Below are 15,918 nucleotides of genomic sequence, written 5' to 3'. Positions count from 1 at the left end.
GATATTTCCTTTCCCACCACAGGCCTGAAAGCGCTTAAAACGTCCGCTTGCAGATACTACAGAAAGAGTGTTTCAAACCTGCTCTATGAAAGGGAATGTTCAGTTCTGTGACTTGAATGCAAACATCACAAAGAAGTTCCTGAGAATGCTTCTCTCTAGATTTTATATGTAATCCCGTTTCCAACGAAATCCTCAAAGCTATCCAAATATCCACTTTCAGATTCCACAAAAAGAGTGTTTCAAAACTGCTCTGTAAAAAGAAAGGTTCATCTCTGTTAGTTGAATACACACATCACAAACAAGTTTCTGAGAATGCTTCTGTCTAGTTTTTATGGGAAGATATTTCCTTTTTCAACATAGGCCTCAAAGCGCTCCAAATGTCCACTTCCAGGTAGTGCAGAAAGAGTGTTTCAAACCTGCTCTATAAAAGGGAATATTCAACTCTGTGACTTGAATGCAAACATCACAAAGCACTTTCTGAGAATGCTTCCGTCTAGCATTTTATATGAAGATATTCCCGTTTCCAACGAAACCTTCAAAGCTATCCGAATATCCACCTGCAGATTCTACAAAAAGAGTGTTTCCAAAATGCCGTATCAAAACAAAGGTTCAACTCTGTTAGTTGAGAACACACATGGCAAATAAGTTTCTGAGAATGCTTCTGTCTAGTTTTTACTTGAAGATATTTCCTTTCTCACCATAGGCCTGAAAGCGCTTGAAACGTCAGCTTGCAGATACTACAGAAAGAGTGTTTCAAACCTGCTCTATGAAAGGGAATGTTCAGTCCTGTGACTAGAAGGCAAACATCACAAAGAAGTTCCTGAGAATGCTCTTCTCCCTAGGATTTTATATGTAATCCCGTTTCCAACGAAATCCGCAAAGCTATCCAAATATCCACTTTCAGATTCCACAAAAAGAGTGTTTCAAAACTGCTCTGTAAAAAGAAAGGTTCATCTCTGTTAGTTGAATACACACATCACAAACAAGTTTCTGAGAATGCTTCTGTATAGTTTTTATGGGAAGATATTTCCTTTTTCATCAAAGGCCTCAAAGCGCTCCAAACGTCCACTTCCAGGTAGTGCAGAAAGAGTGTCTCAAACCTGGTATATAACAGGGAACATTCTACTCTGTGACTTGAATGAAAACATCACAAAGCAGTTTCTGAGAATGCTTCTGTCTTGATTTTATATGAAGATATTCCCGTTTCCAACGAAACCTTAAAAGCTATCCAAATATCCACCTGCAGATCCTACAAAAAGAGTGTTTCCAAAATGCTGTATCAAAACAAAGGTTCAACTCTGTTAGTTGAGGACACACATCGCAAATAAGTTTCTGAGAATGCTTCTGTCTAGTTTTTATTTGAAGATATTTCCTTTGTTACCATAGGCCTGAAAGCGCTTGAAATGTCCGTTTGCAGATACTACAGAAAGAGTGTTTCAAACATGCTCTATGAAAGGGAATGTTCAGTTCTGTGACGTGAATGCAAACATCACAAAGAAGTTCCTGAGAATGCTTCTCTCTAGATTTTATATGTAATCCCGTTTCCAACGAAATCCTCAAAGCTATCCAAATATCCACTTTCAGATTCCACAAAAAGAGTGTTTCAAAACTGCTCTGTAAAAAGAAAGGTTCATCTCTGTTAGTTGAATACACACATCACAAACAAGTTTCTGAGAATGCTTCTGTCTAGTTTTTATGGGAAGATATTTCCTTTTTCATCATAGGCCTCAAAGCGCTGCAAATGTCCACTTCCAGGTAGTGCAGAAAGAGTGTCTCAAACCTGGTATATAACAGGGAACATTCTACTCTGTGACTTGAATGAAAACATCACAAAGCAGTTTCTGAGAATGCTTCCGTCTAGATTTTATATGAAGATATTCCCGTTTCCAACGAAACCTTCAAAGCTATCCGAATATCCACCTGCAGATTCTACAAAAAGAGTGTTTCCAAAATGCCATATCAAAACAAAGGTTCAACTCTGTTAGTTGAGAACACACATCGCAAATAAGTTTCTGAGAATGCTTCTGTCTAGTTTTTACTTGAAGATATTTCCTTTCTCACCATAGTCCTGAAAGCGCTTGAAACGTCAGCTTGCAGATACTACAGAAAGAGTGTTTCAAACCTGCTCTATGAAAGGGAATGTTCAGTTCTGTGACTTGAATGCAAACTTCACAAAGAAGTTCCTGAGAATGCTTCTCTCTAGATTTTATATGTAATCTCGTTTCCAGCGAAATCCTCAAAGCTATCCAAATATCCACTTTCAGATTCCACAAAAAGAGTGTTTCAAAACTGCTCTGTAAAAAGAAAGGTTCATCTCTGTTAGTTGAATACACACATCACAAACAAGTTTCTGAGAATGCTTCTGTCTAGTTGTTATGGGAAGATATTTCCTTTTTCATCATAGGCCTCAAAGCGCTCCAAAAGTCCACTTCCAGGTAGTGCAGAAAGAGTGTCTCAAACCTGGTATATAAAAGGGAACATTCTACTCTGTGACTTGAATGAAAACATCACAAAGCAGTTTCTGAGAATGCTTCCGTCTAGATTTTATATGAAGATATTCCCGTTTCCAACGAAACCTTCAAAGCTATCCGAATATCCACCTGCAGATTCTACAAAAAGAGTGTTTCCAAAATGCCGTATCAAAACAAAGGTTCAACTCTGTTAGTTGAGAACACACATGGCAAATAAGTTTCTGAGAATGCTTCTGTCTAGTTTTTACTTGAAGATATTTCCTTTCTCACCATAGGCCTGAAAGCGCTTGAAACGTCCGCTTGCAGATACTACAGAAAGAGTGTTTCAAACATGCTCTATGAAAGGGAATGTTCAGTTCTGTGACTTGAATGCAAACATCACAAAGAAGTTCCCGAGAATGCTTCTCTCTAGGTTTTATATGTAATCCCGTTTCCAACGAAATCCTCAAAGCTATCCAAATATCCACTTTCAGATTCCACAAAAAGAGTGTTTCAAAACTGCTCTGTAAAAAGAAAGGTTCATCTCTGTTAGTTGAATACACACATCACAAACAAGTTTCTGAGAATGCTTCTGTCTAGTTTTTATGGGAAGATATTTCCTTTTTCAACATAGGCCTCAAAGCGCTCCAAATGTCCACTTCCAGGTAGTGCAGAAAGAGTGTTTCAAACCTGCTCTATAAAAGGGAATATTCAACTCTGTGACTTGAATGCAAACATCACAAAGCACTTTCTGAGAATGCTTCTGTCTAGTTTTTATTTGAAGATATTCCCGTTTCCAACGAAACCTTCAAAGCTATTCAAATATCCACTTGCAGATTCTACAAAAAGAGTGTTTCCAAAATGTTGTATCAAAAGAAAGGTTCAACTCTGTTAGTTGAGGACACACATCGCAAATAAGTTTCTGAGAATGCTTCTGTCTAGTTTTTATTTGAAGATATTTCCTTTCTCACCATAGGCCGGAAAGCGTTTGAAATGTCCGTTTGCAGATACTACAGAAAGAGTGTTTCAAACATGCTCTATGAAAGGGAATGTTCAGTTCTGTGACGTGAATGCAAACATCACAAAGAAGTTCCTGAGAATGCTTCTCTCTAGGTTTTATATGTAATCCCGTTTCCAACGAAATCCTCAAAGCTATCCAAATATCCACTTTCAGATTCCACAAAAAGAGTGTTTCAAAACTGCTCTGTAAAAAGAAAGGTTCATCTCTGTTAGTTGAATACACACATCACAAACAAGTTTCTGAGAATGCTTCTGTCTAGTTTTTATGGGAAGATATTTCCTTTTTCAACATAGGCCTCAAAGCGCTCCAAATGTCCACTTCCAGGTAGTGCAGAAAGAGTGTTTCAAACCTGCTCTATAAAAGGGAACATTCAACTCTGTGACTTGAATGCAAACATCACAAAGCACTTTCTGAGAATGCTTCCGTCTAGATTTTATATGAAGATATTCCCGTTTCCAACGAAACTTTCAAAGCTATCCGAATATCCACCTGCAGATTCTACAAAAAGAGTGTTTCCAAAATGCCGTATCAAAACAAAGGTTCAACTCTGTTAGTTGAGAACACACATGGCAAATAAGTTTCTGAGAATGCTTCTGTCTAGTTTTTACTTGAAGATATTTCCTTTCTCACCATAGGCCTGAAAGCGCTTGAAACGTCTGCTTGCAGATACTACAGAAAGAGTGTTTCAAACATGCTCTATGAAAGGGAATGTTCAGTTCTGTGACTTGAATGCAAACATCACAAAGAAGTTCCTGAGAATGCTTCTCTCTAGATTTTATATGTAATCCCGTTTCCAACGAAATCCTCAAAGCTATCCAAATATCCACTTTCAGATTCCACAAAAAGAGTGTTTCAAAACTGCTCTGTAAAAAGAAAGGTTCATCTCTGTTAGTTGAATACACACATCACAAACAAGTTTCTGAGAATGCTTCTGTCTAGTTTTTATGGGAAGATATTTCCTTTTTCAACATAGGCCTCAAAGCGCTCCAAATGTCCACTTCCAGGTAGTGCAGAAAGAGTGTTTCAAACCTGCTCTATAAAAGGGAATATTCAACTCTGTGACTTGAATGCAAACATCACAAAGCACTTTCTGAGAATGCTTCCATCTAGATTTTATATGAAGATATCCCGTTTCCAAAGAAATCCTCAATTGTATCTAAATATCTACTTCCACATTCTACAAAAATACTGTTTCAAAACGGCTCTGTCAAAAGTAAGGTTCAACTCTGTTACTTGAGTACACACATCACAAGGAAGTTTCTGAGAATGCTTCTGTCTGGTTTTTAGGAGAAGATATTTCCTTTTTCAACATAGGCCTCAAAGCGCTGCAAATGTCCACTTCCAAATATTACAAAAAGAGTTTTTCAAACCTGCTCTATGAAGGGAAGTGTTCAATTCTATGAGTTGAATGCAAACATCACAGAGAAGTTTCTGAGAATGCTTCCGTCTTGATTTTATATGAAGATATTCTCGTTTCCAACGAAACCTTCAAAGCTATCCAAATATCCACTTGCAGATTCTACAAAAAGAGTGTTTCCAAAATGTTGTATCAAAACAAAGGTTCAACTCTGTTAGTTGAGAACACACATCGCAAATAAGTTTCTGAGAATGCTTCTGTCTAGTTTTTATTTGAAGATATTTCCTTTCTTACCATTGGCCTGAAAGTGCTTGAAATGTCCGTTTGCAGATACTACAGAAAGAGTGTTTCAAACATGCTCTATGAAAGGGAATGTTCAGTTCTGTGACGTGAATGCAAACATCACAAAGAAGTTCCTGAGAATGCTTCTCTCTAGATTTTATATGTAATCCCGTTTCCAACGAAATCCTCAAAGCTATCCAAATATCCACTTTCAGATTCCACAAAAAGAGTGTTTCAAAACTGCTCTGTAAAAAGAAAGGTTCATCTCTGTTAGTTGAATACACACATCACAAACAAGTTTCTGAGAATGCTTCTGTCTAGTTTTTATGGGAAGATATTTCCTTTTTCATCATAGGCCTCAAAGCGCTGCAAATGTCCACTTCCAGGTAGTGCAGAAAGAGTGTCTCAAACCTGGTATATAACAGGGAACATTCTACTCTGTGACTTGAATGAAAACATCACAAAGCAGTTTCTGAGAATGCTTCCGTCTAGACTTTATATGAAGATATTCCCGTTTCCAACGAAACCTTCAAAGCTATCCGTATATCCACCTGCAGATTCTACAAAAAGAGTGTTTCCAAAATGCCGTATCAAAACAAAGGTTCAACTCTGTTAGTTGAGAACACACATGGCAAATAAGTTTCTGAGAATGCTTCTGTCTAGTTTTTACTTGAAGATATTTCCTTTCTCACCATAGGCCTGAAAGCGCTTGAAACGTCAGCTTGCAGATACTACAGAAAGAGTGTTTCAAACCTGCTCTATGAAAGGGAATGTTCAGTTCTGTGACTTGAATGCAAACATCACAAAGAAGTTCCTGAGAATGCTTCTCTCTAGATTTTATATGTAATCCCGTTTCCAACGAAATCCTCAAAGCTGTCCAAATATCCACTTTCAGATTCCACAAAAAGAGTGTTTCAAAACTGCTCTGTAAAAAGAAAGGTTCATCTGCTGTTAGTTGAATACACACATCACAAACAAGTTTCTGAGAATGCTTCTGTCTAGTTTTTATGGGAAGATATTTCCTTTTTCAACATAGGCCTCAAAGCGCTCCAAATGTCCACTTCCAGGTAGTGCAGAAAGAGTGTTTCAAACCTACTCTATAAAAGGGAACATTCAACTCTGTGACTTGAATGCAAACATCACAAAGCACTTTCTGAGAATGCTTCTGTCTTGATTTTATATGAAGATATTCCCGTTTCCAACGAAACCTTCAAAGCTATCCAAATATCCACTTGCAGATTCTACAAAAAGAGTGTTTCCAAAATGTTGTATCCAAACAAAGGTTCAACCCTTTTAGTTGAGAACACACATCGCAAATAAGTTTCTGAGAATGCTTCTGTCTAGTTTTTATTTGAAGATATTTCCTTTTTCACCACAGGCCTGAAAGCGCTTCAAACGTCCGCTTGCAGATACTACAGAAAGAGTGTTTCAAACCTGCTCTATGAAAGGGAATGTTCAGTTCTGTGACTTGAATGCAAACATCACAAAGAAGTTCCTGAGAATGCTTCTCCCTACATTTTATATGTAATCCCGTTTCCAACGAATTCCTCAAAGCTATCCAAATATCCACTTTCGGATTCCACAAAAAGAGTGTTTCAAAACTACTCTGTAAAAAGAAAGGTTCATCTCTGTTAGTTGAATACACACATCAGAAACAAGTTTCTGAGAATGCTTCTGTCTAGTTTTTATGGGAAGATATTTCCTTTTTCAACATAGGCCTCAAAGCGCTCCAAACGTCCACTTCCAGGTAGTGCAGAAAGTGTGTCTCAAACCTGGTATATAACAGGGAACATTCTACACTGTGACTTGAATGAAAACATCACAAAGCAGTTTCTGAGAATGCTTCCGTCTAGATTTTATATGAAGATATTCCCGTTTCCAACGAAACCTTCAAAGCTATCCGAATATCCACCTGCAGATTCTACAAAAAGAGTGTTTCCAAAATGCCGTATCAAAACAAAGGTTCAACTCTGTTAGTTGAGAACACACATGGCAAATAAGTTTCTGAGAATGCTTCTGTCTAGTTTTTACTTGAAGATATTTCCTTTCTCACCATAGGCCTGAAAGCGCTTGAAACGTCAGCTTGCAGATACTACAGAAAGAGTGTTTCAAACCTGCTCTATGAAAGGGAATGTTCAGTTCTGTGACTTGAATGCAAACATCACAAAGAAGTTCCTGAGAATGCTTCTCTCTAGGTTTTATATGTAATCCCGTTTCCAACGAAATCCTCAAAGCTATCCAAATATCCACTTTCAGATTCCACAAAAAGAGTGTTTCAAAACTGCTCTGTAAAAAGAAAGGTTCATCTCTGTTAGTTGAATACACACATCACAAACAAGTTTCTGAGAATGCTTCTGTCTAGTTTCTATGGGAAGATATTTCCTTTTTCATCATAGGCCTCAAAGCGCTCCAAATGTCCACTTCCAGATAGTGCAGAAAGGGTGTCTCAAACCTGGTATATAAAAGGGAACATTCTACTCTGTGACTTGAATGAAAACATCACAAAGCAGTTTCTGAGAATGCTTCCGTCTAGATTTTATATGAAGATATTCCCGTTTCCAACGAAACCTTCAAAGCTATCCGAATATCCACCTGCAGATTCTACAAAAAGAGTGTTTCCAAAATGCCAGTATCCAAACAAAGGTTCAACTCTGTTAGTTGAGAACACACATGGCAAATAAGTTTCTGAGAATGCTTCTGTCTAGTTTTTACTAGAAAATATTTCCTTTGTCACCATAGGCCTGAAAGCGCTTGAAACGTCAGCTTGCAGATACTACAGAAAGAGTGTTTCAAACCTGCTCTATGAAAGGGAATGTTCAGTCCTGTGACTTGAAGGCAAACATCACAAAGAAGTTCCTGAGAATGCTTCTCTCTAGGTTTTATATGTAATCCCGTTTCCAACGAAATCCTCAAAGCTATCCAAATATCCACTTTCAGATTCCACAAAAAGAGTGTTTCAAAACTGCTCTGTAAAAAGAAAGGTTCATCTCTGTTAGTTGAATACACACATCACAAACAAGTTTCTGAGAATGCTTCTGTCTAGTTTTTATGGGAAGATATTACCTTTTTCATCATAGGCCTCAAAGCGCTGCAAATGTCCACTTCCAAATATTACAAAAAGAGTGTTTCAAACCTGCTGTATGAAGGGAAGTGTTCAACTCTATGAGTTGAATGCAAACATCACAGAGAAGTTTCTGAGAATGCTTCCGTCTAGATTTTATATGAAGATACTCCCGTTTCCAACGAAACCTTCAAAGCTATCCGAATATCCACCTGCAGATTCTACAAAAAGAGTGTTTCCAAAATGCCGTATCAAAACAAAGGTTCAACTCTGTTAGTTGAGAACACACATGGCAAATAAGTTTCTGAGAATGCTTCTGTCTAGTTTTTACTTGAAGATATTTCCTTTCTCACCATAGGCCTGAAAGCGCTTGAAACGTCAGCTTGCAGATACTACAGAAAGAGTGTTTCAAACCTGCTCTATGAAAGGGAATGTTCAGTTCTGTGACTTGAATGCAAACATCACAAAGAAGTTGCCTGAGAATGCTTCTCTCTAGGTTTTATATGTAATCCCGTTTCCAACGAAATCCTCAAAGCTATCCAAATATCCACTTTCAGATTCCACAAAAAGAGTGTTTCAAAACTGCTCTGTAAAAAGAAAGGTTCATCTCTGTTAGTTGAATACACACATCACAAACAAGTTTCTGAGAATGCTTCTGTCTAGTTTTTATGGGAAGATATTTCCTTTTTCAACATAGGCCTCAAAGCGCTCCAAATGTCCACTTCCAGGTAGTGCAGAAAGAGTGTTTCAAACCTGCTCTATAAAAGGGAATATTCAACTCTGTGACTTGAATGCAAACATCACAAAGCACTTTCTGAGAATGCTTCCGTCTAGATTTTATATGAAGATATTCCCGATTCCAACGAAACCTTCAAAGCTATCCGAATATCCACCTGCAGATTCTACAAAAAGAGTGTTTCCAAAATGCCGTATCAAAACAAAGGTTCAACTCTGTTAGTTGAGAACACACATAGCAAATAAGTTTCTGAGAATGCTTCTGTCTAGTTTTTACTTGAAGATATTTCCTTTCTCACCATAGGCCTGAAAGCGCTTGAAACGTCAGCTTGCAGATACTACAGAAAGAGTGTTTCAAACCTGCTCTATGAAAGGGAATGTTCAGTTCTGTGACTTGAATGCAAACATCACAAAGAAGTTCCTGAGAATGCTTCTCTCTAGGTTTTATATGTAATCCCGTTTCCAACGAAATCCTCAAAGCTATCCAAATATCCACTTTCAGATTCCACAAAAAGAGTGTTTCAAAACTGCTCTGTAAAAAGAAAGGTTCATCTCTGTTAGTTGAATACACACATCACAAACAAGTTTCTGAGAATGCTTCTGTCTAGTTTTTATGGGAAGATATTTCCTTTTTCAACATAGGCCTCAAAGCGCTCCAAATGTCCACTTCCAGATAGTGCAGAAAGAGTGTTTCAAACCTGCTCTATAAAAGGGAATATTCAACTCTGTGACTTGAATGCAAACATCACAAAGCACTTTCTGAGAATGCTTCCGTCTAGATTTTATATGAAGATATTCCCGTTTCCAAGGAAATCTTCCTAGCTATCTAAATATCAACTTGCAGATTCTACTAAAGGAATGTTTCCAAAATGCTGTATCCACACAAAGGTTCAACTCTGTTAATTGAGGACATACAGCACAAAGAAGTTTCTGAGAATGCTTCTGTCTAGTTTTTATTTGAAGATATTTCCTTTCTCACCACAGGCCTGAAAGCGCTTAAAACGTCCGCTTGCAGATACTACAGAAAGAGTGTTTCAAACCTGATCTATGAAAGGGAATGTTCAGTTCTGTGACTTGAATGCAAACATCACAAAGAATTTCCTGAGAATGCTTCTCCCTAGATTTTATATGTAATCCCGTTTCCAACGAAATCCGCAAAGCTATCCAAATATCCACTTTCAGATTCCACAAAAAGAGTGCTTCAAAACTGCTCTCTAAAAAGAAAGGTTCATCTCTCTTAGTTGAATACACACATCACAAACAAGTTTCTGAGAATGCTTCTGTCTAGTTTTTATGGGAAGATATTACCTTTTTCATCATAGGCCTCAAAGCGCTGCAAATGTCCACTTCCAAATATTACAAAAAGAGTGTTTCAAACCTGCTGTATGAAGGGAAGTGTTCAACTCTATGAGTTGAATGCAAACATCACAGAGAAGTTTCTGAGAATGCTTCTGTCTTGATTTTATATGAAGATATTCCCATTTCCAACGAAACCTTCAAAGCTATTCAAATATCCACTTGCAGATTCTACAAAAAGAGTGTTTCCAAAATGTTGTATCAAAAGAAAGGTTCAACTCTGTTAGTTGAGGACACACATCGCAAATAAGTTTCTGAGAATGCTTCTGTCTAGTTTTTATTTGAAGATATTTCCTTTCTCACCATAGGCCTGAAAGCGTTTGAAATGTCCGTTTGCAGATACTACAGAAAGAGTGTTTCAAACATGCTCTATGAAAGGGAATGTTCAGTTCTGTGACGTGAATGCAAACATCACAAAGAAGTTCCTGAGAATGCTTCTCTCTAGGTTTTATATGTAATCCCGTTTCCAACGAAATCCGCAAAGCTATCCAAATATCCACTTTCAGATTCCACAAAAAGAGTGTTTCAAAACTGCTCTGTAAAAAGAAAGGTTCATCTCTGTTAGTTGAATACACACATCACAAACAAGTTTCTGAGAATGCTTCTGTCTAGTTTTTATGGGAAGATATTACCTTTTTCATCATAGGCCTCAAAGCGCTGCAAATGTCCACTTCCAAATATTACAAAAAGAGTGTTTCAAACCTGCTGTATGAAGGGAAGTGTTCAACTCTATGAGTTGAATGCAAACATCACAGAGAAGTTTCTGAGAATGCTTCTGTCTTGATTTTATATGAAGATATTCCCGTTTCCAACGAAACCTTCAAAGCTATTCAAATATCCACTTGCAGATTCTACAAAAAGAGTGTTTCCAAAATGTTGTATCAAAAGAAAGGTTCAACTCTGTTAGTTGAGGACACACATCGCAAATAAGTTTCTGAGAATGCTTCTGTCTAGTTTTTATTTGAAGATATTTCCTTTCTCACCATAGGCCTGAAAGCGTTTGAAACGTCCGCTTGCAGATACTACAGAAAGAGTGTTTCAAACCTGCTCTATGAAAGGGAATGTTCAGTTCTGTGACTTGAATGCAAACATCACAAAGAAGTTCCTGAGAATGCTTCTCCCTAGATTTTATATGTAATCCCGTTTCCAACGAAATCCTCAAAGCTATCCAAATATCCACTTTCAGATTCCACAAAAAGAGTGTTTCAAAACTGCTCTGTAAAAAGAAAGGTTCATCTCTGTTAGTTGAATACACACATCACAAACAAGTTTCTGAGAATGCTTCTGTCTAGTTTTTATGGGAAGATATTTCCTTTTTCATCATAGGCCTCAAAGCGCTGCAAATGTCCACTTCCAGGTAGTGCAGAAAGAGTGTCTCAAACCTGGTATATAACAGGGAACATTCTACTCTGTGACTTGAATGAAAACATCACAAAGCAGTTTCTGAGAATGCTTCCGTCTAGATTTTATATGAAGATATTCCCGTTTCCAACGAAACCTTCAAAGCTATCCGAATATCCACCTGCAGATTCTACAAAAAGAGTGTTTCCAAAATGCCATATCAAAACAAAGGTTCAACTCTGTTAGTTGAGAACACACATCGCAAATAAGTTTCTGAGAATGCTTCTGTCTAGTTTTTACTTGAAGAAATTTCCTTTCTCACCATAGGCCTGAAAGCGCTTGAAACGTCAGCTTGCAGATACTACAGAAAGAGTGTTTCAAACCTGCTCTATGAAAGGGAATGTTCAGTTCTGTGACTTGAATGCAAACATCGCAAAGATGTTCCTGAGAATGCTTCTCTCTAGATTTTATATGTAATCCCGTTTCCAACGAAATCCTCAAAGCTATCCAACTATCCACTTTCAGATTCCACAAAAAGAGTGTTTCAAAACTGCTCTGTAAAAAGAAAGGTTCATCTCTGTTAGTTGAATACACACATCACAAACAAGTTTCTGAGAATGCTTCTGTCTAGTTTTTATGGGAAGATATTACCTTTTTCATCATAGGCCTCAAAGCGCTGCAAATGTCCACTTCCAAATATTACAAAAAGAGTGTTTCAAACCTGCTGTATGAAGGGAAGTGTTCAACTCTATGAGTTGAATGCAAACATCACAGAGAAGTTTCTGAGAATGCTTCTGTCTTGATTTCATATGAAGATATTCCCGTTTCCAACGAAACCTTCAAAGCTATCCAAATATCCACTTGCAGATTCTACAAAAAGAGTGTTTCCAAAATGTTGTATCAAAAGAAAGGTTCAACTCTGTTAGTTGAGGACACACATCGCAAATAAGTTTCTGAGAATGCTTCTGTCTAGTTTTTACTTGAAGATATTTCCTTTCTCACCATAGGCCTGAAAGCGTTTGAAATGTCCGTTTGCAGATACTACAGAAAGAGTGTTTCAAACATGCTCTATGAAAGGGAATGTTCAGTTCTGTGACGTGAATGCAAACATCACAAAGAAGTTCCTGAGAATGCTTCTCTATAGATTTTATATGTAATCCCGTTTCCAACGAAATCCTCAAAGCTATCCAAATATCCACTTTCAGATTCCACAAAAAGAGTGTTTCAAAACTGCTCTGTAAAAAGAAAGGTTCATCTCTGTTACTTGAGTACACACATCACAAGGAAGTTTCTGAGAATGCTTCTGTCTAGTTTTTATGGGAAGATATTTCCTTTTTCATCATAGGCCTCAAAGCGCTCCAAATGTCCACTTCCAGATAGTGCAGAAAGAGTGTCTCAAACCTGGTATATAAAAGGGAACATTCTACTCTGTGACTTGAATGAAAACATCACAAAGCAGTTTCTCAGAATGCTTCTGTCTTGATTTCATATGAAGATATTCCCGTTTCCAAAGAAACCTTCAAAGCTATCCAAACATCCACCTGCAGATCCTACAAAAAGAGTGTTTCCAAAATGCTGTATCAAAACAAAGGTTCAACTCTGTTAGCTGAGAACACACATCGCAAATAAGTTTCTGAGAATGCTTCTGTCTAGTTTTTATTTGAAGATATTTCCTTTCTCACCATAGGCCTGAAAGCGTTTGAAATGTCCGTTTGCAGATACTACAGAAAGAGTGTTTCAAACATGCTGTATGAAAGGGAATGTTGAGTTTTGTGACGTGAATGCAAACATCACAAAGAAGTTCCTGAGAATGCTTTTCTCTAGATTTTATATGTAATCCCTTTTCAAACGAAATCCTCAAAGCTATCCAAATAACCACTTTCAGATTCCACAAAAAGAGTGTTTCAAAACTGCTCTGTAAAAAGAAAGGTTCATCTCTGTTAGTTGAATACACACATCACAAACAAGTTTCTGAGAATGCTTCTGTCTAGTTTTTATGGGAAGATATTTCCTTTTTCAACATACGCCTCAAAGCGCTCCAAACGTCCACTTCCAGGTAGTGCAGAAAGAGTGTCTCAAACCTGGTATATAACAGGGAACATCTACTCTGTGACTTGAATGAAAACATCACAAAGCAGTTTCTGAGAATGCTTCCGTCTAGATTTTATATGAAGATATTCCCGTTTCCAACGAAACCTTCAAAGCTATCCGAATATCCACCTGCAGATTCTACAAAAAGAGTGTTTCCAAAATGCCGTATCAAAACAAAGGTTCAACTCTGTTAGTTGAGAACACACATGGCAAATAAGTTTCTGAGAATGCTTCTGTCTAGTTTTTACTTGAAGATATTTCCTTTCTCACCATAGGCCTGAAAGCGCTTGAAACGTCAGCTTGCAGATACTACAGAAAGAGTGTTTCAAACCTGCTCTATGAAAGGGAATGTTCAGTTCTGTGACTTGAATGCAAACATCACAAAGAAGTTCCTGAGAATGCTTCTCCCTAGATTTTATATGTAATCCCGTTTCCAACGAAATCCGCAAAGCTATCCAAATATCCACTTTCAGATTCCACAAAAAGAGTGTTTCAAAACTACTCTGTAAAAAGAAAGGTTCATCTCTGTTAGTTGAATACACACATCAGAAACAAGTTTCTGAGAATGCTTCTGTCTAGTTTTTATGGGAAGATATTTCCTTTTTCAACATAGGCCTCAAAGCGCTCCAAACGTCCACTTCCAGGTAGTGCAGAAAGAGTGTCTCAAACCTGGTATATAACAGGGAACATTCTACTCTGTGACTTGAATGAAAACATCACAAAGCAGTTTCTGAGAATTTTTCCGTCTAGATTTTATATGAAGATATTCCCGTTTCCAACGAAACCTTCAAAGCTATCCGAATATCCACCTGCAGATTCTACAAAAAGAGTGTTTCCAAAATGCCGTATCAAAACAAAGGTTCAACTCTGTTAGTTGAGAACACACATGGCAAATAAGTTTCTGAGAATGCTTCTGTCTAGTTTTTACTTGAAGATATTTCCTTTCTCACCATAGGCCTGAAAGCGCTTGAAACGTCAGCTTGCAGATACTACAGAAAGAGTGTTTCAAACCTGCGCTATGAAAGGGAATGTTCAGTCCTGTGACTTGAAGGCAAACATCACAAAGAAGTTCCTGAGAATGCTTCTCTCTAGGTTTTATATGTAATCCCGTTTCCAACGAAATCCTCAAAGCTATCCAAATATCCACTTTCAGATTCCACAAAAAGAGTGTTTCAAAACTGCTCTGTAAAAAGAAAGGTTCATCTCTGTTAGTTGAATACACACATCACAAACAAGTTTCTGAGAATGCTTCTGTCTAGTTTTTATGGGAAGATATTTCCTTTTTCAACATAGGCCTCAAAGCGCTCCAAATGTCCACTTCCAGGTAGTGCAGAAAGAGTGTTTCAAACCTGCTCTATAAAAGGGAATATTCAACTCTGTGACTTGAATGCAAACATCACAAAGCACTTTCTGAGAATGCTTCTGTCTTGATTTCATATGAAGATATTCCCGTTTCCAACGAAACCTTCAAAGCTATCCAAATATCCACTTGCAGATTCTACAAAAAGAGTGTTTCCAAAATGTTGTATCAAAAGAAAGGTTCAACTCTGTTAGTTGAGGACACACATCGCAAATAAGTTTCTGAGAATGCTTCTGTCTAGTTTTTATTTGAAGATATTTCCTTTCTCACCACAGGCCTGAAAGCGCTTAAAACGTCCGCTTGCAGATAATACAGAAAGAGTGTTTCAAACCTGCTCTATGAAAGGGAATGTTCAGTTCTGTGACTTGAATGCAAACATCACAAAGAAGTTCCTGAGAGTGCTTCTCTCTAGATTTTATATGTAATCCCGTTTCCAACGAAATCCTCAAAGCTATCCAAACATCCACTTTCAGATTCCACAAAAAGAGTGTTTCAAAACTGCTCTGTAAAAAGAAAGGTTCATCTCTGTTAGTTGAATACACACATCACAAACAAGTTTCTGAGAATGCTTCTGTCTAGTTTTTATGGGAAGATATTTCCTTTTTCATCATAGGCCTCAAAGCGCTGCAAATGTCCACTTCCAGGTAGTGCAGAAAGAGTGTCTGAAACCTGGTATATAACAGGGAAGATTCTACTCTGTGACTTGAATGAAAACATCACAAAGCAGTTTCTGAGAATGCTTCCGTCAAGATTTTATATGAAGATATTCCCGTTTCCAACGAAACCTTCAAAGCTATCCGAATATCCACCTGCAGATTCTACAAAAAGAGTGTTTCCAAAATGCCGTATCAAAACAAAGGTTCA

The 15,918-nt window shown here is 37.6% G+C and overlaps 1 annotated feature.

Annotated features, from left to right (window-relative positions):
• Positions 1-15,918: part of a centromere (Linear centromere model derived predominantly from reads generated in PMID: 17803354. This region does not represent an actual centromere sequence, as long-range ordering of repeats and unmapped WGS contigs is not provided by the model. For details of model production, see http://arxiv.org/abs/1307.0035.) that runs on past both edges of the window.

The sequence above is a fragment of the Homo sapiens genome, chromosome 9 (genome assembly GCF_000001405.40).
Source record: "Homo sapiens chromosome 9, GRCh38.p14 Primary Assembly".
Lineage (NCBI taxonomy): Eukaryota > Metazoa > Chordata > Mammalia > Primates > Hominidae > Homo > Homo sapiens.
The sequence above is the reverse complement of the archived record's forward strand: the minus strand, read 5'-3'. Positions and strand labels throughout refer to the sequence as shown.